Below are 24715 nucleotides of genomic sequence, written 5' to 3'. Positions count from 1 at the left end.
TGAAGATCTTGGTTTTGGACATGTTAAGTTTTAGGTACTAGCAGAACACCCAGATAGAGATATTCAGCTGGTAATACAAAATGTGAAACAAGCTCAGGAAGGAGCCCAGGTCTAGAGAGATTGAGATGACAGTTGAAACAATGCAAATTAGTGAGTTCACCAAGGAAAAGAACACAAATAGAAGGAAATAGAAGACAACTAGGGACAGTACCTTTGATTAATGTGTTCCTCTAGGGAAGTAAATAGAGGAAACTGAGAAGGAGTGACTGTACAGTTAAGAGAAAAGCCAAAATAATTCACAATCAGACTCCATTTTCATGTCTCCTTTCTCATCTGTAATCTCTGTTGAGTACTCTCCCGGGGATCTCACCCATTCTTGGGAAAGAGTACTTACTTAAATCAAGATGCTGTGCAACAGGTCAAGAAAGCATTTTTTGTTACATTTGTTTAAGCTGAACAGAGAGAACAATATTACAAATGTAATTTTAGTACGTATTGTTGAAAAATTTTAACCCTCGTGCATTTTTAGCATAGTATTGTTTGCTGAATTGTCTTTTACATACAAATTACCTAAGGATAAATATGATTCTGAGCTCATATGCTCCTTTGTTAGTTGAATGCAAGTACTTTGCTGACAAGTTAAAGGCAGATTGTTTTCTAGACTTTCTTTTTAATTGAAGAGAACAGGTTAGAACATGACTAATTAAGCTAGTCAAAGTGGAGAGTCTTAAGTAATGGCATTTGTATTAGAATTTATTTTTAGAGTGAGTTCCAGTCCTTCAAAATACAGATTTCTGTTGCTTAGTGACAGGTCAATATCAGGGTATGAAATCTAGATCTAAACTAACTTCCTTAATGACTAAAATATTTTTAGAAGGTTAATATTTGATTCTTTAATCAACAACTACTGAGTGCCCATAAGATGGAAAATGCTATACTAAACTCATGTAAACTGATTGCAGATAAGCAGAAGTGAATATAGAAAATCCTCAAAAAGAATGTTTGATTTCTTTTGAATCAGGAGAAGGAAGAAATTGCCAGATGTTATGATGAGTGCCTGCTAGTACTTTCAAAGCATATAGAAAACAATTTTCTTTTTACAAAACAGAAACTAGATCATAGAATAACTTTAAGCATGTAGAACATAGTAGTAGCATTTGACCATTCCAAAAAGCATTTGCACAGCTTTGCGGAGTGTCCGTTTAAAAGTGCTTGCTCTTGCAAATATTTAAAAAGTGATCATTGTTTATTCTTGAGTAGTATTGCAGGTGTGTTTTATAATTGGTGTGAAAGATGGATTGTTATCCCCTTTTATCCTTGGCTTCCTATTTTTCATCAAACCTGAATATATGCTTTGGCATATAAACACCTCGGATCAATCTAGGCCTCTTTATATTCTGATCTTTCCTACCTCCTCCACATATTCTGGGGATTTTAGTGCAGTGTTCAAGAATCTTCTCAGCTCTAAATGCCACCCTGCCATCTGCATGGCTGTAGTGGTATCATAACTAGGCACGAAACATAGATGAGAAAGAAGAAAGAAAGGATTGTCAAGTAAGAAGAAGAAAACAGGAGGAAGATTTTGTGCCTAATGTATGAGAACATAGCATACCTTCTGCTTGCTTATTTACTTTTTAATGCTCTTTTGATTCTGAGGGTCTTAAGGCTATCATTGTCTCCAGCAAAAATTTTAAAGACAAATGATATTATGTAGAGATGATTTGGAGCCCAGAGTAGACTAAGAGAGGGGATTGGTATTTCTTCTAGCAGAGTTGCAGCAATTCTATTTTAATATGTTTGGGTTCTATATAAGATGTATTTTAGCGGTTCTACTACCAAGAGAGACAAAAACAAAGTGCCATTTGTATTCATTCCTTAAATCCCTACAAATCATATGTAATGTATTTTTTTTACCATCTATACATATATCATAGGAGTATCATATCATTATTAATCTGGGGAATTTGAGGTCTTCTATGGGGTTTTTGTTTTTTTAAGATGGAGTTTCACTCTTGTTGCCCAGGCTGGAGTGCAGTGGCATGATCTCTGCTCACTGCAAACTCCGCCTCCCGGGTTCAAGCAATTCTCCTGTCTCAGCCTCCTGAGTAGCTGGGATTACAGGTGCATGCCACCATGCCCGTCTAATTTTTGTATTTTTAGTGGAGATGGGGTTTTATCATATTGGTCAGGCTGGTCTCAAACTCCTGACCTCAGGTGATCCGCCCGCCTCAGCCTCCCAGAGTGTTGGGATTACAGGCATGAGCCACCACTCCCGGCCAACCTAATTCAACTTTTCTATTAGTATTTTACATACAACCATGCCAGGATTTAAGGAAAATGTAAAACATATTTATTGAAGTCATTTGATTTTATAAAATGTATGTTACCTTTAGTATTACCAAAAAATGTTTATTCATATTCTCTAACCACTGCCATCTTGGAAACCACTTAGTCGACAGAAAAACTGGGGGCAAAGGAAGTTAAAGTATCAAGTGCAAAAATAAGCTATCTTTACAATTATAATAATTTCAAGGGAGAGTGATTTATAAAAATAAACACCCTTTTTCTTCAGAAATGCATCTGTTATATAAAGTATAACAGGTGATATATATATTGAGCAAGTATTTATTGAGTGACTAACAAATAATAAGATAGATATATATATATATATATATATATATATATATATGTATATAACAGAAACATCCAAAAGGAGAGACAAATGAAGCTGTAGGAGAGTACCAACAATTAAGCATATAGGGAAGGCTTTATGAAGGATTTAGTATTTTTGAATAACTATTTTGACATTTGTAACTTTAAAACATTTATGTACTTCTTCATTTTTTTGAAACTTTTCTGAAAAATATTTTTTAAAATGAGACAGTGCTACCTGATGCCTTTTTGAGAAGTATGAATTTTACCCTGGTATTATTATTATTATTATTAAAATACTATATCTTAGAGAAGTTTTAAGTTTACAGAAAAATTGAACAATAAGTACAAAGAGTTCTTATATATACCCCCTTTTTTTCTCCAGAATGCAGTTTCTTCTGTTATTAACATCTTGCATTAATGTGGTACATTTGCTAAAACTGATGAACCAATTATTTTGAAAAGATACATTATTATTAACCAAGTCCATAGTTTACATTAGGATTCACTTTTTGTATTGTACAGTTATATGGTTTTTGGGAAATGTATAATGTCGTGTATTCACCATTATGATATCATATAGAATAGTTTCCCTGCCCCCAAAATCCCATGTGATCCATCTACTCATCTGTCCTTCCTTCCTCCAGAATTCCTAACAACAGTGATCTTTTTACTAACTCTCTAGTTTTGCCTTTTCCAGAATGTCATATAGTTGGAACCATATGGTATGTAGCTTTTTCAGACTGGCTTCCTTCACTTCACAATATGTATTTCAAGATATTCATTGTGTGGGTGTGTGTTACCTGATAGCTCTTTTCTTTGTATCACTGAATAATATTTTGTTATATGGATGTACTATAGTGTGTTTATCCACTCACCTGTTGAAAGACATCTTGGTTTCCTTTAGATTTTGGCCGTCATTAATAAAGCTGCAGTAAACATTTGTGTGCAGGTTTTTGTGTGGCCATAAGTTTTCATCTCATTTGGGTAAATACCAAAGAACACAATTGCTGGATTGTCTTGTAAGACTATGTTTTGTTTTGTATGAAACTGCCAAATAACCTTTTATAGTTGGTATACCATTCTACATTCCTACAAGCAATGAATAAGAGTTCCTATTGCTCCACATCCTCACTAGCATTTGGTGTTATTGATATTTTAGATTTTAGCCATTCTAATAGGTGTGTGGTAGCATCTCACTTTTGTTCTAATTTACAAATGCCTAATGACATATGATGTTGAGCATCTTTTCATATGCTTTTTTTGTCATTTGTATATCTTCTTTGGTGAAGTGTCTGATCAGTTCTTTTGCCCATTTTTAAATTTGATTGTTTTCTTATTGTTGAGATTTAAGAGTTCTTTTGTAATTTTGGATACAAATACTTTATCAGTTAAGTCTTTTGCAAATACTTTGTCTCAGTCTGTGGCTTGTCATCTTATTCTCTTGACAGTGTCTTTTGTAAAGCAGAAGTTCTTAATATTAATGAAGTCCTACTTACCAGTCTTTCATGGATCATGTTTTTGGTGCTAAGTCATTGCCAAACCCAAGGTTACCTGGATTTTATCTTACGTTATCTTCTAGATGATTTATAGTTTCATCTTCTACATTTTGGTCTATGATCTATTTAGAGTTAATTTTTATGAAATATGTAAGGTCTGTGTTTGGATTCCTTTTTTTTTCCATTGGCATGTCCAGTTGCTCCAGCATCATTTATTGAAAAGGCTGTCTCTTTCCCATTGGGTTGCCTTTGCTCCTTTGTGAAAGATCAGTTGACTATATTTTTGTGAGTCCATTTTTGTGCTGTCTCTTCTATTTCCATTGATCTATTTGTCTATTTTTTGACCAGTACCATACTGTCAGGATTACTGTAGCTTCATAGAGTAAGTCTTATAGTCAGGTAGTGTCAGACCTCCAGTATTGTTTTCTTCTTCAGTATTCTGTTGGCTGTTTTGAGTTTTTTGCCTTTCTTTATAAACTTTAGGATCAGTTTGTCCATATCCACAAAATTACTTACTGGGATTTTGATTGGGGTCACATTGAATCTATAGATCAAGCTGGAGAAAACTGACATCTCAACAATATTGAGTCTTCCCATACATGAACATGGAGTATCTCTCCATTTATTTAGCTTCTTTGATTTCTTTCATATGAGTTTTGTAGTTTTCCTCATATGCTTTTTGCACACATTTGTTATATTTGTACTGAAGTATTTCATTTTTTGTTGTTAATTTAAATGGTGTTGTATTTTTTATTTCAAATTGCATATGTTCATTGGTGGTATGTGGGAAAGTAGTTGACTTTTGTATATGACCTTGTATGCTGCAACCTTGCTGTAATTGCTTTTTAGTTCTAGTAGGGTTTTTTGTTGATTTTTTTTTTTCAGATTTTCTGTATAGACAATTATATCACCTGCAAACAAAGACAGTTTTATTTTGTCCTTTGTAGAATGAATACCTTTATTTCCTTTTCTTATTGCATTAGCTATGACTTCTAGTACAGTGTTGAATATAATGTGATAAAAGAGGACATCCTTGCCTTGTTCACAGTTTAGTTTCCCACCATTAAGTATGTTGTTAACTTTAAGGTTTTTTATAGGTGTTTGTAATCAAGTTGAAGTTTTCCTCTATTCCTAGTTTGCTGGGAGTTTTTGTAATGAATAGGTGTTGGATTTTGTTAAATGATTTTTTTTCATCTGCCATCATTTGATTTTTCTTCTTTAGCTTGTTGATGTGATGGATTACATTAACTGATTTTCAAATGTTGAACCAGCTTTCCATACCCAGAATAAATTCCACTTGGTTATGTCGTGTAATTGTTTTTATACATTGTTGGGTATGATTTGGTAATATTTTGTTGAGGATTTTTGTATCTATATTCAGGAAAGAGGGTGGTCTGTAGTTTTCTTGTAATGTCTTTGGTTTTGATATTAGAATGGTGCTGTTTTCATGGAATGAGGAAGTATTCCCTCTACTTCTGTTTTCTGGAAGAAATTATAGAGAATTCACATCATTTCTTCTTTAAGTAGTTAGTAAAATTCACCAGTGAAACCATTTGGACCAGTGCTTTCTGTTTTGGAAGGTTATTAATTATTGAATCAATTTATTTAATAGATACAGACCAATTCAATTTATCAATGTATCTTCTATAGGAAGGGATCTTTTAAGGAATTTGTCCATTTCATCTAAGTTATCAAATTTGTTGGACTAGAGTTGCTCATACTATCCCTCAATTATCTTTTAATTTTCATAGAAACAGTACTGAAGGCCTGCCTTTCATTTCTGATGTTAGTAGTTTGTCTTCTTTCTTTTTTGCTTGATTAGCCTGACTAGAGACTTAGCAATTTTATTGCTCTTTTCCAAGAGGCAGCTTTTGGTTTTGTTGATTTCCTTTTTTCAATTTCATTGATTTCTGCCCCAATTTTTATTCTTCTGCTTACTTTGGATTTAATTTGCACTTTTTTTGCGCTTTTTTTTTTCTATTTTCCCAAGATGGAAACTTACATTATTCATCTTAGATCTTTCTTTTCTAATATTTGCATTCAGTGCTATAAATTTCTTTTTAAGTGCTGCTTTTGCTGCATCCCACAAATTCTGATACATTGTATCTTCATCTTTATTTAGTTCAAAATATTTTAAAATTTCTCTTTAGTCTTTGACCCATGTGTTATTTAAAAGCATGTTGTTTAATCATTGGGATATGCCTACCGTCATTCTGTTAGTGATTTCTAATTTAATTCCATTTTGCCTAGGGCATACTTCGTGCTATGTGTATTTTTAAAAATTTGTAAAGGTGTGTTTTATGGCCCAGGGTGTCATTTATCTCGGTGAATGATCTGTGCAAATTTGAAAAGAATGTGTATTCTGCTCTTGTTGGATGAAGTATCCTATAGGTGTCATTTAGATATAATAGAGGATGCATCTATTTTTCCTTGCCATTCTATCAGTTTTTGCCTCATGCATTTTGATATTTTGCTGTTAGGTGCATACACAATTAAGGATTGTTATATCTTTTTGGAGAATTAACCTCTTTATCATTATGTAATGCCCCTCTTTTATTCCTGGTTCCTGTTAATTTTCCTTGATCTGAAGTGTGCTTTATCTGAAATTAATATGGTTTCTACTCCAGCTTAGCTTTGATAAGGGTTAAGGTGGTGTATATTTCTTCATCCGTTTACATATAATTCATTATGTCTTGATATTTAAAATTGGGTCTGTAATTGGATCATCTTTTAAAAATCCATTCTGACAATCTGTTTTTTTTAATGCCATCAGATTCAGCCATGATGACAATCTGTGTTTTAATTGGTGTAGACTATTCACATTTAAAATGATTAACTGATATTGTTGGATTAATATTGACCATATGTGTAACTGTTTTCTGTTCATTTCCTTTCTTCTTTGGTTTTTGCTTTTATTTTACTTTTTCTTCAATCTTTTTCTTCCTTCTCTGGCTTTAATTAAACATTTTATATGATTTTGTTTTTTCTAATCATTTAACATTCCGATTATACTTTTTAATTTTTAAGTGGTTGCCATAGAGTTTGCATTATACATTTATAGGCAGTCTAATTCCACTTTAATATGACACTATTACTGCTTCATGGGGGTGGTACACATAACAGTACTCCCAATTCATTCCCCCTATCACTTACACACTGCTGTGATTCATTTCACCTATTTATAAGCTTTAATTACCAATACATTGTTGCTGTTATTATTTTGAAGAAACTTATCTGTTAGATGAATTAAGAATAAAGATAAATTATTTTATTTTACATTAATTTATTCCTTCTCTAACATTGCTTCCCAATTAAATGTAAATCTGAGGTTTTGACCAATATCATTTGCATTCTCTCTGGAAAACTTTATTTAAAAACAATTCTTGCAAGATCCATGTACTAGCAACAAATTTCCTCAATTTTTGCTTTTGTAGAGAGTGTATGTTTTTCCCTCACTTGTAAAGGACAGTTTCACTAGGTGCAGAATTCTAGGTTGGTGGATTGGTTTTTTTCAACAGTTTAAATATTTCATTCCACTCTGTTCTTGCTTGCCTTCACTGTTATTTTTATTCTTGTTCCTTTATAGGTGATTCCCCTGGCTTCTTTTAAGATTATTTTTGTCTTTGATTTTTGTAGTTTGAATATGATATGCCAGGCTGTACCTTTTGGGAGTTTTTTTTTTGTTGTTGTTGTTGTTGTGTTTTTTTTTTTGTTTCTTTTGTTTTGTTTTTTCTACGTGGTGTCCTCTAAGCTTTCCTGGATCTGTGGTTTGGTGTTGTCATTAATTTTAGAAAATTCTTAGCCTTCATTATTTCAATTATTTTTCCTGTTCCTTTTCCCTTTTCCTTATGGTATTCCCATTATGTATACATATGTTACACCTTTTGTAATTCTCCCATATTTCTTGCATATTCTTTTCCCTTTTAAATTCATTTTGTTCTTTCATTTCACTTTGTGAAGTTTTCACTGACATACGTCTTCAAGCTCACTGATTCTTTTCTATTTTGTGTCCTGTCTACTGATGAGCCTATCAAAGACGTTCTTCATTTCTGTTAGAGTGTTTTTGATTTCTTGTACAACCTTTTGATTCTTTCTTAGAGATTCCTCTCTGTTTATATTACCCATCTTTTCTTGCATGCTGTCTGCTTTTTCCATTAGAGCCTTTGGCATTTTAAATTCCTGGTCTGATAATTCTAAAATCTCTGCCTTATCTGAGTCTGGTTCCGATGTTTACTTTGTCTATTCAGACTCTTCTTTGCCTTTTGGCATGCCTTGTAATTTTTTTTGAAAGCTAGACACAATGCATTAGATGATAAATATGCCTTTAATGTGAGATTTTATGTTTATCTGGCTAGGAGTTGGCTGTCTTTAGTGTTAGCTGTAGCTGTAGGTGTCAGAGGCTAGAATTTCCTCTAGAACCTGCTAAACGGGGGCTAGACAAATTTTAGGGGATAAGGCCATATGAACAAAAAATTTTAATGAATCAGGTTCACATATCATGTTACTTCTACTAGTTACATTGAGGTTGTTCATTAAATATCAGTGTGATCTACTTTTCCCCTCTAAATGTTTTATCTCCTAGAGGATTTAGATAAGAGGACTTATCTCTTTGATTAGATTAGTGGAGTTGAGACTGCAAGTCAATTGCTCTTTCATATTCTTTAATTTGCTTTCAGTTCTGTGTGCTTCAGCCATGAAATAAGGTAAAACAAGTTTGTTTTGTGGATATTATGATCTCTAGCTTTTAGATGTCTGTTATTGAAAATGACAATGACATATAGTCCCTTTCTATGTCATACCTTTCCATGTTTATACTTTCAAACTATCAGACTAGGTAAAAATGACATTTCTTACAAATATTACATTATGTAAAAGTCTTGCATATGGAGTCTTCTGCGTGTCTGTTATTCATATAGATTAGTCATAACTCTTGCTTTACTTTCTCAGGATCCATATTCAGCTATGTTGCAAGGATTGTATTAAATAGGCTGTTTTCTGTTGAGGTTACTCTTTGATGCCCAGAGCAAACTTTATATACAAGCCAGAAGTATTTTGTTTATACAATGGAAATCTTTAATGACATTTGCTTTGTTGCCTAGACCTAATTTTCATGAATTAATAATGTATACAATATAAAATAATTTTATTTGATCAACTTACATAACTGCTTTGTTGTTGTTTGATATTTTTCCTTTAATGAGAATAGAAACTTCAGTTCTGTGAGGATTCTACCACTACCCTGATAATCTTTTCAAATTGTCTGAGTACCCTTAATGCAGGCAAACCCCAAAATTGGGGCTCAGCCTGGGAGGGTTCTTGGCTTCGTGCAGGAAAGAATTTAAGAGTGAGCTGACAGCAAAGTGAAAGCAAGTTTATTAGAGCAACAGAGTACAGGAAAATGGTTGCTCCATAGACAGAGTAGTAGCAGCAGCCCTTTCAGCAGCAGTGGATTTCTGGCTAGCTATATGGCTATTCCTTGATTAGTTGTGAAATAAGGGGTGGGTTATTCATGAATTTCCTGGAAAAGGGATGAGGAGTTCCTGGAACTAAGGGTTCCTTCTCCTTTTAAGCCATATAAAGCAACTTCCAGGAGTTGCCATGGCATTTGTAAATGGTTCTGGTGGGAGTTGCTTTTAGAATGGTAATGCATTATAATTAGTGTATAATGAGCAATGAGGGCAACTAGAGGTTGTTTTCGTCACCATCTTGGATCTAGCTGGTTTTGGCTGGTTTCTTTGCTGCATTCTGTTTTTCTCAGATCCTGTTTGTTTAGTGGGGCCTCGTGACCAGTGCTTGGAAAATAATTCATGCCAATCTCCTACCTTACCTTGTCTGGTTTTCTTTTATCTTTGCTTTGCCTTGCTAATCAGATCTCTCTTTAGTGTTCCTGGTCTTTATTCTTTTTTCTCCTGATTCTTTTGTGAATAGAGAAGCAATTAAAGGAACAAAATTCTTTTTTACTTGTTTAGATATATTGGGCACTTCTTGGCAGCACTGCTCATAAAGCCCTTAGTTAACAGAGGCCACTCTGAAAGAGGTGAATTTATTAAGGAGTTTAGATATTAAAAAGTCTGAAAGAATTGGGTTCCTCAGATGACTAGTCATGATCATAATGGGAAAAGCGATAATTAAATCTAGAACTTGAGGTCCTCAGCAAACTGACTATATTGACCAGTAATTTTGGCACCATGTAGATATAGCATACTTTTGGTAGTCCTTTATGGCAATTTTACTTTTTACTTAACTCTCTTCTTCAGTTAGTGTCCCAAATTTTACAGTTTTGTGCTAAAAATTAAATGAATACCATTTTGTAATGATATACCAGTCTTTGATAATTCAGGAGCCTAGCAGATTATTTATATGATTTAAATTTTTGATCTAAGAAAGAAAAAATGTTTTATAAGTTCCTGAGGCTGGGCATGGTGGCTCATACCTGTAATCCCAGCACTTTGGGAGGCCGAGGCAGGCAGATCACTTGAGGCCAGGAGTTTGAGACCTTCCTGGCCAACATGGTGAAACCCTATCTCTACTAAAAATACAAAAATTAGCTGGGCGTGGTGGTTCGTGCCTGTAGTCCTAGCTACTCGGGAGGCTGAGGCATGAGAATCACTTGAACACAGGAGGCGATAGTTGCAGTGAGCCGAGATCATGCCACTGCACTCCAGCCTAGGCGACAGAGTGAGACTCCATCTCAAAAAAAAAAAAATATTTAAAGTTCCTTTATTTCTCGTGTACTTAGTGTGCACATTGCAGTCAGATTAAATATACCTTTTGTCACAAGATTACAATCTTGTAAATATAACCAGTTTCTTAATTTTTAAAAAGTAACAGGGGTATGAAACTTCATATTGGGTTGATTTTTATTGAAATACACTGTGATTCAGCCTTATTTTTAGACATTTCCTGCCCCCAGGGAGCCGGGTCTGTGGTGTGATGCTGGCTTTATTTATTTTAATTTTAATGTACATTCAATGGAGTGCACTCTTTTTAGTATACAGTTCCATAATTTTTAACACGTGTGTATTCATGTAATTACCACCACAGTCAGGATACAGACAAGTGCTATCACCCCAAAAATCTCCCTTTTGTTACCTCTTTATAGTCATACCCTTTCCAGACCCCTAGCTGCTGGGTAACATTGATTTGTCCTCTATCACTATAGTTTTCTCATTTTGAGAATGCCATATAAATGGAATCATGTAGTATATAACCTTTTGAGCTGATTTCTCACATTAAGCATGATGTCTTGGTCATTCATCCATGTTATTGGATATACCAGTTTGTTTCTTTTCATTGCCGAATAGTATTCCATGGTATGGATATAACAGAGTTTGTCCATTCACCCATTCAACAACATTGGGTTCTTTCCACTTTTTAGTGATTATAGATTATAACTAGAGCTGCTTTAAACATTCAGACACAGGTTTTTGTGTGAACCTGAGTTTCCATATCTCTAGAATAAACACTTAAGAGTGGAATGCTAGGTCATGCTAAACACATTTTTAACTCAATAAGAAACTGCCAAGCTGTTGTCCAGAGTAGTTCTTTTTGTATTCCCACAGCAGTATATGAAAGAGTTCCTGTTGCTTTGCTTCTTTGTCAACACTTGGTATTGTCAGGTGAATGGTGGTATCTTGTGGTTTTAATTTACATTTCTCTTAAGGCCTGGGATATTGAGCAGCATTGTGTGTATTTAGTTTACATTTGTATATCTTCCTTTTGTGAAGTGTCTGTTTAAGCATTTTGTCCATTTTTTAATTGGGCTGTATGTTTTTCCTCTCAACTTTAGTGAATTCTTTATATATTCTGATATGAAACCTTTACCAGATATATGATTTGCAGATATTTTCTCCCAGTCTGTAGCTTGTTTTTTAATCCCCTTAATAGTATTTTATGTAGAACAAATGTTTTTAATTTTGATAAATTTCAGTTTATTATTTTTTTCCTTTATGGATTATGCTTTTGTTGTCATGTCTAATAACTATTTGCCTAACTCAAGGTCATTAAGATTTTCTCTTTTGTTTTCTTCTAAAAGTTTTATATATTTTTCTCTTTTACATTTAGATTGTGCCACGTTTTTTAAAAAATATGTACTGAACTAAAGTGCTACAGTTTGAATTCTTATATGAGGTTTAGGTAGAAATTAAATTTTTTTCCAATTGTTCCAACACCAAATTGAATTTTTTTCCAGTTGTTCCAACACCAAGGCTATCCTTTCCCCATTCAATTTGCTTTGTTTCCTATTGCTGCTGTAACAGATTATCACAAAAATAGTAGCTGAAAACACCACAAATTTATTATCTTACATTTCTGGAGGTCAGAAATCCAAAATTAGGTTTCACTGGATCGAAATAAAGATATTTGGCATGGCTGTGCTCCCTCCAGAAACTCTTGAGGAAAATCTATTTCCTTGCCTTTTCCTGCTTCTAGAGTTCACCTACATTCCTTGGCTCAGGGCCTCTTATTCCATCTTCAGCATCAACAGCATGTTCAATCTATCTCTGACTCTGACCCTTCTGCTTTCCTTCGTCTCAACTTTGACTCTCCTACTTTCCTCTTATAAGTACTCCTGTAATTAGATTTGGCCCACCCACAAAATCAAGGATAAAGAACATAATCATGTTCTTCAGCTTAACCACATCTGCAAAGTTCATTTTGCTATGTAAAATATCATCTTTATAGGTTCTGGAAATTGGTACATGAATATCTTTGGGGAGCCATTATTCTTTCTACCATAATGATTATGTATGGGATGTTTTTCTGGAATCTATTCTGTTTCATTGATCTTTGTGTTTCTGCATTCACCAGTACCACACTATTTTTATATTTTATATATATATATATATTTGTAGTTTTATAGTAAGTTTTAAAGCCAAGTAGGATGATTCTTCCAACTTTCTTCCCTTCTTTTCAAAATTGTTTTTAGCTATTCCAGTTTTTTTTGCCTCTGCATATAAATTTTAGAATAAACTTTTCTATAGCTATTAAAGCTCTTCTATCAAAGAAGCCTGATGATGTTTTAAATAAAATTTTATTAAAAATGTAGACCAATTTGGGTAGAATTGACATCCTTACTAGGTCGTGTCTTCCATTGGATGAATGTAGTATGTTTCTCCATTTATTTAGCTTTTCTTTGATTTATTTCATCAGCATTGATAGCTTTCAGCATACAGACATGATACATGTTTGATTATACCAGTGGTTCCCAACCAGGGGTGATTTTGACTCCATGAGGACATTAGGCAATGTCTGGAGACATTTTTATAGGTCACAACTAGAGGGGGTGGGGTATGCTACTGGTGTGTATTGGGTAGAGGTTAAGGACACTGCTAAACATCATACAATGCACAGAATAGCTCTTCCCGCAAGAAATAATTATGGAACCCAAACTGTCAGTAGTGCTGGAGGTTGAGACCCTGAGTTAGATTTATACTTAAGAATTTTTTTTACTTGATGAGGGCAATGTCAATAATTTTCTTTTTTAAATTTTGGTTTCTAACTGTTCATCGCTAATATGTTGATATATTAATAATTATTGATTTTTGTTGATCATTGTAATATATTGATAATATTGCTATCATTTATATACTTGGATTTCAGTCTACCATTTTATTATGTGTTTTCTGATAAATTTATTTTGTTACTTGGTTTTACCTTTACTGTCACCTTTTATGTTATTTGAACAGATTTTACTATCCCATTTTAATTTATCTACTATGTGTTTTAGTTTATCTCTTTATATAATTTTGTAGTGGTTACTCTGGAAATTATACATAAGTAACTTTTCACAGTCTGCTTAGGATCAATATTTTACTACTTCAAATGAAATGTAAAAACTTACTACTCTGTAAGTTCCCTTACCTTCCCCCTTTATATTTACAATTGTTTCATATATCTTGATGTACTGTAAACCGCATCAGTCAGTAATCTTTTTTATTGCTCTATGGAATCTTTCTAGACAAATATAAATTTTGCTTTTAACCATCAAACATATTTTTAAAGAACTTAAAAATAGGTTATTATATTTACACAGATATTTACCATTTCCATTGCTCTTCCTTCATTCCTGATATTCCAGGTTTCCTTCTGCTTTCACTTCTTGTATGAAGAATTTTCTTTAGCAGTTCTTTTAAAGCAGGCCTTCTGGTAACTAATTCTCTTAGTTTTCCTTAATCTGAAAATGTCTTGATGTTACCTTCATTCACAAAGGCTAATTTTGCCCAGTGTACGGTACTAGGTTGACAGTTCTTTTCTTTCACCACTTGAAAAATGTTGTCCCACTTACTGCTGGCCTCTGTGGAAATCTGCTGTCTTAAGATTGTTTTTCCCTTATACATAACGTGTTTTTATCTAGCTGGTTTTAAGATTTTTTTTCTCTGTCTCTAGCTTTCATAAGTTTAATTATGATGTGTCTTGGTGTGAATTTCTTTGGGTTTATCCACATTTGGGTTACTCAGCTTCTTGAAATTATAGGTTTATGTCTTTTGCCGAATTTGGGAAAATTTCAGCCATTATTTCGTTGGTACTTTTTTGTGCCCCACACTCTTCTGCTATCCTTCTGGGACTCAATAAAGGATGGTAAGTGTTTTGTTACAGCTCCATAGGTCCCTGAGACTCTGTTGGCTTTTTTTTTTCTTTAGTCTATTTTCTCCCTGTTGTTAAGCTTAGGTAGCATCCCAACATCTGCTGTGTATTTTAATGATATTGTTGACTACTAGAACATCTGCTTGGTTGCTAAGACTCTTGTATACCTTACCTTGACATCTTGATTGGTAAGATTTATATAGCTTCTATCAGTTGTAGCTAAACTTAACAAAGATGGATGGCATAGTAATGGAACATTAACAAGCGCTGGGATTTCAGTGTTTTTATTAAGCCTGATAGAATTGTTTTCACATATTATTAATGTGCATCAATTTAATTTCTTCAGAAAAACTTTGGCAGTCTGACAAACTTCCTGTTCCTAAGAGATGGTTGATGTTTTTCATACTATAATTGCAGAAAATGCAGAATGTGAATGATTAAACATTTGCCTTGAATATATGAAAGCATTGTATTCCTAATTATTGTTCTATCTTCAAGTTCAATAATACTTGCCTCTGTCTTCTCCATTTTGCCATGGAGCCCATCCCTTGAGTTTTTATATGTCAGTTATTATATTTTTCAGTTCTGTATTTTTCATTTGGTTCTTTATATCCTTTATTTATTTCCTGAGTCTTCTATTTTTTCACTTATTTCAAGCATGTTCATAAATATTCCTGGAAGCACTTTTATGATGGCTACTCCGAAATCTTTCAGATAGGTGTAATGTTTGTGTCATCCTGATGTTAGTGTCTATTAATTGTATTGTCTTATTCAAATTGATATCTTATCTTATTGGTTCTTGATATGATTTTTTAAATTGAAACCTGGACATGTAGAGTATTATTAGACTCTGAATCTTATGTAAATCTTCTGTTTAGCAGGCCTCCTGTGTCACCACTTCAGTGGAGCAGGGGTGCTGCCTCATTACTGTGGGTGGAGATGAGAATCCAGGTTCCTACTTGGGCCTCTATTGGCTCCTGGCAGAAGAGATTCCTCATTACTGCTGAATGGAGTGAGAAGTTAGACTCCTGAGTAGAATAAAAGGCAGTAGACTGGGCGAAAATATTTGCAAACCACATATCCAACAAAGGCCTTATTCTTAGAATATATAAAGAACTCTTAAAACTCAACAGCAGAAAAACAAACAATCCAATTATAAAATGCATAAAAGACATGAACAGATATTTCACCAAAGAGACGATATAGATTGCAAATAAGCACATTAAAAAGTGCTCAACATCAGTGAGGTATCAATATGCACCTATTGGAACAGTTTTGAAATTTAAAAAAATGATAATACCAAATGTTTGTGAGGATGCAGAAGAACTGGGTCACTCATACTTTGCTGGTTATTGTAAAATGATACAGCAGGCCAGGCGTGGTGGCTCACACCTGTAATCCCAGCACTTTGGGAGGCCGAGGCAGGAGATCACTTGAGCCCAGGAGTTTGAGACCAGCCTGGCCAACATGGTGAAACCCCGTGTCTACCAAAAATAGAAAAATTAGCTGGGCCTGGTGGCGTGCAATTGTAGTCCCAGCTACTCAAGAGGCGAAGGCAGGAGAATCGCTTGAACCCGGGAGGTGGAGGTTGCACTGAGCCGAGATCATGCCACTGCACTCCTTCCTGGGCAACAGAGTGAGACTCTGTCTCAAAGATATAAAATAGAATGATACAGCAACTCTAGAAAGAGTGTGGCAGTTTCTTAGTAAGGTCAGCATAGAGATGCCATATGACTTAGCAATTGGACTCTTGGGTCTTTTCCCAGATGAATGGAAACTTATATCCATCTGTATGAGAATGTTGATAACATCTTTACTGATAGTAGCCTAAAGCTGGAAACAACCAAAATGTCCTTCGGGGTGACTGGTTGAATAAATTCTAGTACATCAATGGAATAATCCTTAGCAATAGCAAATGATGAGCTATCGATACATGCAACAGTCTTGATAAACTTTGAGCACGTTATGCTGAATAAAACAAAAGCTGATCCTAAAAGGTTATATATGATTCCATTTCTAGAATATTCTCAAGATGAGTAAACTGTAGAGATCAAGAGCAAATTAATTAGTAGTTGCCAGGGTAAAGGGACTGGGGTGAGGCAGGTAGAACGGGGGTGAATACAAAGTGGTGGCATAATGGATTTCTCTTGTGGTGATGGAATAGTTTTGTATGTTGATTGTGGTGCTGGTTACAGATCTGAACGTGCGGTAAAATTGCATAGAACCACACGGACAGACACATACGTACTACACACAGATACACATGAATACAAGCTAAAAGTTGGTGAAAACTGAATGAGTTCTCTAGTCCAGTAGTTAACGGTAATGTGCCGATGTTAACTTTCTGGTTTTGATACTGAACTACAGTGAAATAAAATGTCATTAGGAGATGCTGGGTGAAGGGTACGTGGGTCTCTTTGTACTACGTACTGTTTTGCAGCTATGAGTCTCATTATTTCAAAATAAAAAAGTTATTTTTTTTTAAAGATTCTCATTTGCCTGGAATGGTTTAAATCTAGTTCTGCTAAAGGCAGGATATTGGGGAAAACCACTATTTGCTAGTCCCATCCCCAAAATATCACAAAGCAAATAAAACTTAACACTACATGTTAATAAAAACATCTACATGTAGTATCCTTCTTATTTCTTTGGTGTATTTCTTTCGTTTTTAACATATATGGCATATTTCTTACCTTTTTAAAATAATTTTTATGGGAAAACTGACAGTATTCAGTTATTATTAGAGGTAGCGCCATACTCTTTGCATGTGCTAACTGCCCTTTTTCTGCCACTAACAACACAATGCAGATGACACTCACACGTCCTGAACACTTACAAGGATGTTCTCTAGTTTGACCAAATCCAAAAACATTTTCAAGGAAGTAAAATTGCACAACTTTATTGGTGATACATTAGTTTTAGGCGTCATTCACTACAGCTTTGGAAAAGGTATAATGGGCTGTGAGTTATGAGAATTGCATGCTAGCTGTAACTATCACTTTTTCTCCTACTGAAGAAAGTGTATTGGATTGCAGGTGAGGGACTGTATCCTTAAATGGAAAACCTGGAATCTGCTCAAATTTATTTAAATTACTTTTGATATACTTTACAGCTATAGCTGGTTTAAACAGTGCATTTGAGAGCATCCATTTTAGGGTGCAAAATAAGTGAAATATATTGTCCCTGCCTTATAAGCTGCTAATGTGGCTATGGTATACTAGAAAAAATTCTAACTTCAAGTGTCAGACCTGTATTTTAATCTCAGCTCTGCTGCTTACCAGACAAGTCATTAAACCTTGTGGAACCTGAGGTTCCTCAACTATACAGATAAAATCTATTTTGTAAAATTTTTATTCCTTTCATCCCTCACATTTGTGAAAGGTACCTACCTTTCACCATACCTGATTCATCTAGCTGTTGTTCAGTAAATGTCAGTTTTGTCACAAAAGGTTTGTACATTATTTGGGTGATAGATACACTAAAATCCCAGACCTCACCAGTATGCGATATATCCATGTAACAGGACTGCACTTGTACCCCTCAAATTTATGCAAAAAGGATGGAAATATATCCATGCATATATACATACAAAATGAATCAGAAATATATCATAAAAGTGATAAATATTGAGGTATAAACTATAACAAAAAGATAGAAAATGGAGAGTGCCAAATTGGCTGCATGTTTCAGAGAAGGCATTATGGTAGAAATGGGATTAAAATTGGGCTTTGAAGAGTGACGAGGTAGATAGGGGAGAGGAGACCATTTCAAGAAGAAGCAAGACCTGTAATCTCAGCACTTTGGGAGGCCGAGGCGGGCGGATCACAAGGTCAGGAGTTTGAGACCAACCTGACCAACATGGTGAAACCCTGTCTCTACTAAAAATACAAAAATTAGCTGGGTGTGGTGGTGCATGCCTGTAATCTCAGCTACTCAGGTGGCTGAGGCAGAAGAATCGCTTGAACCCAGGAGGCGGAGTTTGCAGTGAGCCGAGATTTCCCCACTGCACTCCAGCCTGGGTGACAGAGTGAGACTCCATCTCAAAAAAAAAAAAAAAGCAAAGAAGAAGCAAGAACCTAAGGTTATATGGCTACAGGGGAATCAGATTTGAGAAATTTATGCTATTTGAGACCTGCCATATATTCTATTAGATTTTGGAAGTCAGAAAGCTTAATGTTTAAGCACTTTATCTCATGTTACATTCTTAAAAGCATCCCAACATGTGCTGTGTATTTTAATGATATTGTCGAATACTAGAATGCCTGCTTGGTTGGTAAGACTCTTGTATACGTTACCTTGGAATCTTGATAAGAGTTACATAGCTTCTATCAGTTATAGCTAAACTTTGCAAAGATAGATGGCATAATAATGGAGCATTAACAAGATCTGGGATTTCAGTGTTTTTATTAAGGCTTATAAAATTGTTTTCACATGTTATTAATGTGCATCAATTTAATTTCTTCAAAGAAACTTTGGGAGTCTGACAAACTTTCTGTTCCTAAATGATGGTTGATGTTTTGGATACTATAACTGCAGAAAATATAGAATGTGAATGATGAAACATTTGCCTTGAATATATGAAAACATCATGCTTCTAATTTTCTTTTTAAGTTTTATTTTGATGTATTCTCATGGAGAAATAGGTTCATTATTGAAAGCTTAGTTTTGATAATAATTGGGCTTTGTTTTATGTGGTATTGGGGCAAAGAAGCTTTCTGTAGGACAAATGGATTTATCAATGTTTTTTCAAATGGTGAATCAGCCAACATATACTTGTAATTCATCTGCTTTTGTGATCTGGCTTGCTGTGTAATTTAGTTTACCATTATTTTGATGACCAAATTATTTTAAAAATATTTATTGAATGCCTACTGTATAAGAGCATTATATTCAGCATGGGTGGGACAAAAAGTAAAATGACACAGACCCTCAAGGATCCAGTAGGAAAGGGAAATATATACACAAATAACTACAGTGTAAGACAGTTTGCCATAGTGTCATGAGCTTTGTAGGATTTTAGATAATGGAGACAGCATTTTTGAGTGGCAGATCTGGGATGATTTCATGGAAGCAGAAGCATTTGACTAATTCACATAGCTTATAAATGAATATTAACATGGCAGTGTGAAGTATGAAGCCTGAAATGACAGCTCTCCCAATGTCAAAGATGTTGTCTTTATGAATGGGGAAAATCACTCTAATACCAGTAAGTGGTAAATATGTAAACATTACCATAAGTACTAATTTAAGGTAAATATTTGTACTTTTATAAATAAGTATTTTGTGTATAATGGGTAATTGATGTTTTTATGTTTTTAGGCCATGAATATTGTGGTTCCCTTCATGTTTAAATATGCTGTAGACAGCCTCAACCAGATGTCGGGAAACATGCTGAACCTGAGTGATGCACCAAATACAGTTGCAACCATGGCAACAGCAGTTCTGATTGGCTGTATGTGTGATTCTTTAATCTGTCTACAGGTGTTGACTTTCTTCAAGGAGGTTTCATCATATTTGAGCAGATGACCTTTTCACTACAAACACAACTTAGCGTTTTGGATGTTTGTTGTTTTATGTGAGATGTTTTGTATGTGTTTTTAAAAACTATTCTGTATGATACACTTTCAAAAAATTCCATGATAACAGTAGCATTTTTACAAGTTCTAGAAAACAATAATATAAAATAAGACATTAAATTCATAACAACCACTTCTAATAGTTAGGCTTTTTGTAACATCCATTTCCACAAAGGTCAATTATTTTCTTGCTGGCATTGTTAGCTATTAAATAGGAAATAGCTAAATAAAAATATATATGTACATAAATGCTTTATTAAAATATATTCATTAGTAATGACACAAATCTACAATTTGAAAAGAACAGAATATGAATGCTGTGTGTCCCATGCATTAGAAAGGACACTATGAGATTTGGGAGACATTAGTAGGGGTATGCCTTTAGTCAAGGCACTTGATTCTTCAGGGTCTCAATTTTATCACTTGTTATTTAGGAAGATTAAATTAGATAAAAAAAACCTCAACAGACACTGCACATTTATCCACAGTAATGCCATGTGGGCTATTATTTAAGTATTTTATTTGGAAAAAATATCTTTTAATGTCTGAAACCTGGAGGAAATAACACTGAAGGGATTCATAGTGGTGGAAAAGTTAATACTCATTAGGCTAGATTATTTCTAGGTTTCTTTTATTGTAAATATTCTGTGATATATTCATTCACTGAATTACTCATTGTACAAACATTTTCTGAGCCCTTGTCATTTCTATACTCCTTTGATTCTAATATTGTTACATCCTATTTTTTCTTTTGAATGTATTGTTAGATGGTGTATCAAGAGCTGGAGCTGCTTTTTTTAACGAAGTTCGAAATGCAGTATTTGGCAAGGTAGCCCAGAATTCAATCCGAAGAATAGCCAAAAATGTCTTTCTCCATCTTCACAACCTGGATCTGGGTTTTCACCTGAGCAGACAGACGGGAGCTTTATCTAAGGCTATTGACAGAGGAACAAGGGGTATCAGTTTTGTCCTGAGTGCTTTGGTATTTAATCTTCTTCCCATCATGTTTGAAGTGATGCTTGTCAGTGGTGTTTTGGTAAGTTAAACATTTTTCATAACAAGCTTTTATCTTAAATTCTCATTAGTAGCAATTGAATATTTGAAGCTGTTGTACTGTTGCATGCCCATGGGCTTGAAAGCAAAATTCCATGATGCCAGAAATATTATGCAGTTTAATTATTTTGCCACAAGCTTCAATGGACTGCTCAAATTCTTTATCGTGTTGTTATTGTAAATAACTGTTCAATTCTACACATAGATTAGTCATCAACTAGTACTTACAAGGTTTTTTTAAAGCAGAGATTTTTGTATATGACATTGGACTAATATGCTCAGAATATCTAGGTTTCTCATCACCATTCATAACATTTTAGGCAATTTCACCTTTTATTTTTTTTTCTCTGTTTCAACTTTTAGCTTCAGGGGGTACCTGTGCAAGTTTGTTACATGGGTAAATTATGTGTCACTGGGGTGTGGTGTACAAATTATTTCATCACCAGGTAGTGAGCATAGTACCTAATAGGTAGTTTTTTGCCTTCACTCATCTGCCACCCTCCACCCTCAATAGGCCCCAGTGTCCATTCCCCTCATTGTGTCTGTGTGTACTCATTGTTTAGCTCCCACTTATAAGTGAGAACATGTGGTATTTTGGTTTTCTGTTCCTGAGTTAATTCACTTAAGATAATGGTCTCCAGATGCATCCATGTTGCTGCAAAGGACATGATTTTGTTTTTCATGGCTGCATAGTATTCCATGATGTACATGGGCCACATTTTCTTTATTTAGTCCACCATTGATTGGCATCCATGTGTTTGCTATTGTGAATAGTGCTGCAATGAACATACGCATTTGTATGTCTTTATGGCAGAATGATTTATGTTCTTTTGAATATATATACACCCAGTAATGGGATTGCTGGATCAAATGGTAATTCTGTTTTAAGTTCTTTGAGAAATCTCCAAACTGCTTACAGTGGCTGAACTAATTTCCATTCCCACCAGCAGTGTATAAGTGTTCCCTTTTCTCTGCAACCTTGACAACATCTGTTATTTTTTGACTTTTTAATAATAGCCATTCTGACTCATCTGAGATGATATCTCATTGTGGTTTTGATTTGCATTTCTCTAATGATTAGCAATTTCACCTTTTATAGTTAAAAATATATGTATATATTTTTTATTCCTCTTTAGGCTTTTTGTACTATCTTCCTATTAGTATTTGATGGTACTACTGATGTAGCAAGTGCAGTTTGACTTTCTTCCCTTGTTGCCTAAAGTAGATTTTCTAAAGTATTTGATTTTTCACCCATCATTCACGTACATAACTTCACGCCACCATATTTTTGTTAAAATCTTTTGACCGAGATTTGCTGTTGTGTATTACAAACTGTTTGGGAAGAACAATAACTGTTTCACGTTTCTTCTTTGGACTTCCTTTTCTAGTATTACAAATGCGGTGCCCAGTTTGCTTTGGTAACCCTTGGAACACTTGGTACATACACAGCATTCACAGTTGCAGTCACACGGTGGAGGTAATTTATTCCCTAGAAGCCACATAAAATTTAGAAATTGTTTTGCTTTTATAACATGTATTTCATGCCTATGCAAATCTTTGTCTTACAGAACTAGATTTAGAATAGAAATGAACAAAGCAGATAATGATGCAGGTAATGCTGCTATAGACTCACTGCTGAATTATGAAACTGTGAAGGTAATATGTTTAATTATACTTTCCTCTGCCTTTCACACTGCACTAAGATTTGATCTACCATTTAATTTAATAGGTACTGTAAATTAGAGCTTCAGGTTAGGATATGATCTCTAGGCGTGATGGAATAATACTATTTTATTGTTTGTCTTTAGAAACTATCCTCTTTCCTTCTCAGTTTTTGTTTGGCACTATCAGATTTTTACCTTCTGAATTAATTTATAAGTGATCATAAATACAGTCATGCACTGTATAATGATGTTTTGGCATCTATGATGTTGGTCCCATAAGATAATAATGGAACTGAAAAGTTCCTGTCAGCAAGTGACATTGTAGCCATTGTAATGTTGTAGCACAATTCATTACTCTATTACTCATGTGTTTCTGGTAATGCTGGTGGAAACAAACCAGCTGCGCGACCCATCATTTAATATTTGATAATGATAAACTAGTATGTTAACTAGTATATGTATTTTTACACGTTTAATCATTATTTTAGAGTGTACGCCTTCTACTTCTAAAAACAAAGTTAACTGTAAAATAGACTCAGGTAAGTCCTTCAGGAGGTATTCCAGAAGAAGGCATTGTTGTCATGGGAGATAACAGCTCCATGCATGTTATTGCCCCTGAAGACCTTCCAGTAAAACGAGATGTGGAGGTAGAAGACAGTGATATTTGACCCTGATCCTATGTAGGTCTAGGCTAATGTGTGTGATTGTGTCTTAGTTTTTAACAAAAAAGTTTAAAAAGTAAAAAAAAAAAAAATTAAATAGAAAATAGCCTATAGAATAAGGATATGAAGAAAGAAAATATTTTTATACAGCTGTACAATGTGTGTTTTAAGCCAAGTTATTACAGAGTAAAAAAGTTTTTAAAAATTTAAGTTTGTAAAGTAAAAAAGTTACAGTAAGCTAATTTTAATGTGTTATTGAAGAAAGAAAATATTAAATAAATTTAGTGTAGCCTGAGCATACAGTGTTTATAAAGTCTACAGTAGTGTACGGTAATGCCCGAGGCCTTCATATTCACTCACCACTCACTCACTGACTCACCTAGAGCCATTTTCAGTCCTGCAGGATCCATTGCTGATAAGTGCTCTATACAGATATACCACTGCAAATCTTCTTTACTATATTTTTACTGTACCTTTTCTGTGTTTAGATACACAAATACCATTGTGTTACAATTTTCTACAATATTCAATATAGTAACGTGCTATACAGGTTTATAGCCTAGGAGCAATAGGCTATACCATATAGTCTAGGTGAGTGGTAGACTATACCATCTAGGTTTGTGTAAGTACACTCTATGATGATTGCACAGTCAAAATTACCTAAAGTATGCATTTCTCAGAACATATCTCTTTTGTTAAGTGATGCATGACTGTGTACCGTTAGCATCTTGATTCAGAATGAACAGTAAGCTAATCAAACTGGCATATAAATTCTTGACTCTCTTCTATCCCTCAGAGTGCCTAGCATAGTGCTTCTCATTAATTCTTTCATTTATTTGTTCATATTTCCATTTAACAAATAGTTACTGAATGCCTCTTATGTGTTCTAAGTGCTTTCACAGGGGAGGGTGGTAAAAAAAGATTACTTTCTGATCCCTGCTATCCCAGAATTTTATACTGTACCGAGAGAATTTAAGTATGCAGGTGACTAAATAAGAAGGCATAATGTTGTGAGGGTAGTGGGA

At 34.2% G+C, this 24715-nt stretch overlaps 1 protein-coding gene across 5 annotated transcripts in view; it reads left to right on the top strand.

Moving 5' to 3' along the window:
- ABCB7 (ATP binding cassette subfamily B member 7) overlaps nucleotides 1-24715 on the top strand; it is a 105236-nt gene that overhangs the window by 59575 nt on the left and 20946 nt on the right. For all 5 annotated transcript variants that reach the window (NM_001271698.3, NM_001271697.3, NM_001271696.3 and 2 more), the window contains 4 exons: nucleotides 20055-20187; nucleotides 21079-21347; nucleotides 22753-22841; nucleotides 22933-23020. In NM_001271698.3, coding sequence (NP_001258627.1) covers nucleotides 20055-20187; nucleotides 21079-21347; nucleotides 22753-22841; nucleotides 22933-23020 — 579 coding nt within the window. The remainder of the gene's footprint in view (nucleotides 1-20054; nucleotides 20188-21078; nucleotides 21348-22752; nucleotides 22842-22932; nucleotides 23021-24715) is intronic.

The sequence above is a fragment of the Homo sapiens genome, chromosome X, assembly GCF_000001405.40.
Source record: "Homo sapiens chromosome X, GRCh38.p14 Primary Assembly".
Classification (NCBI taxonomy): domain Eukaryota; kingdom Metazoa; phylum Chordata; class Mammalia; order Primates; family Hominidae; genus Homo; species Homo sapiens.
This window is presented reverse-complemented; position numbering and strand designations above follow the sequence as displayed.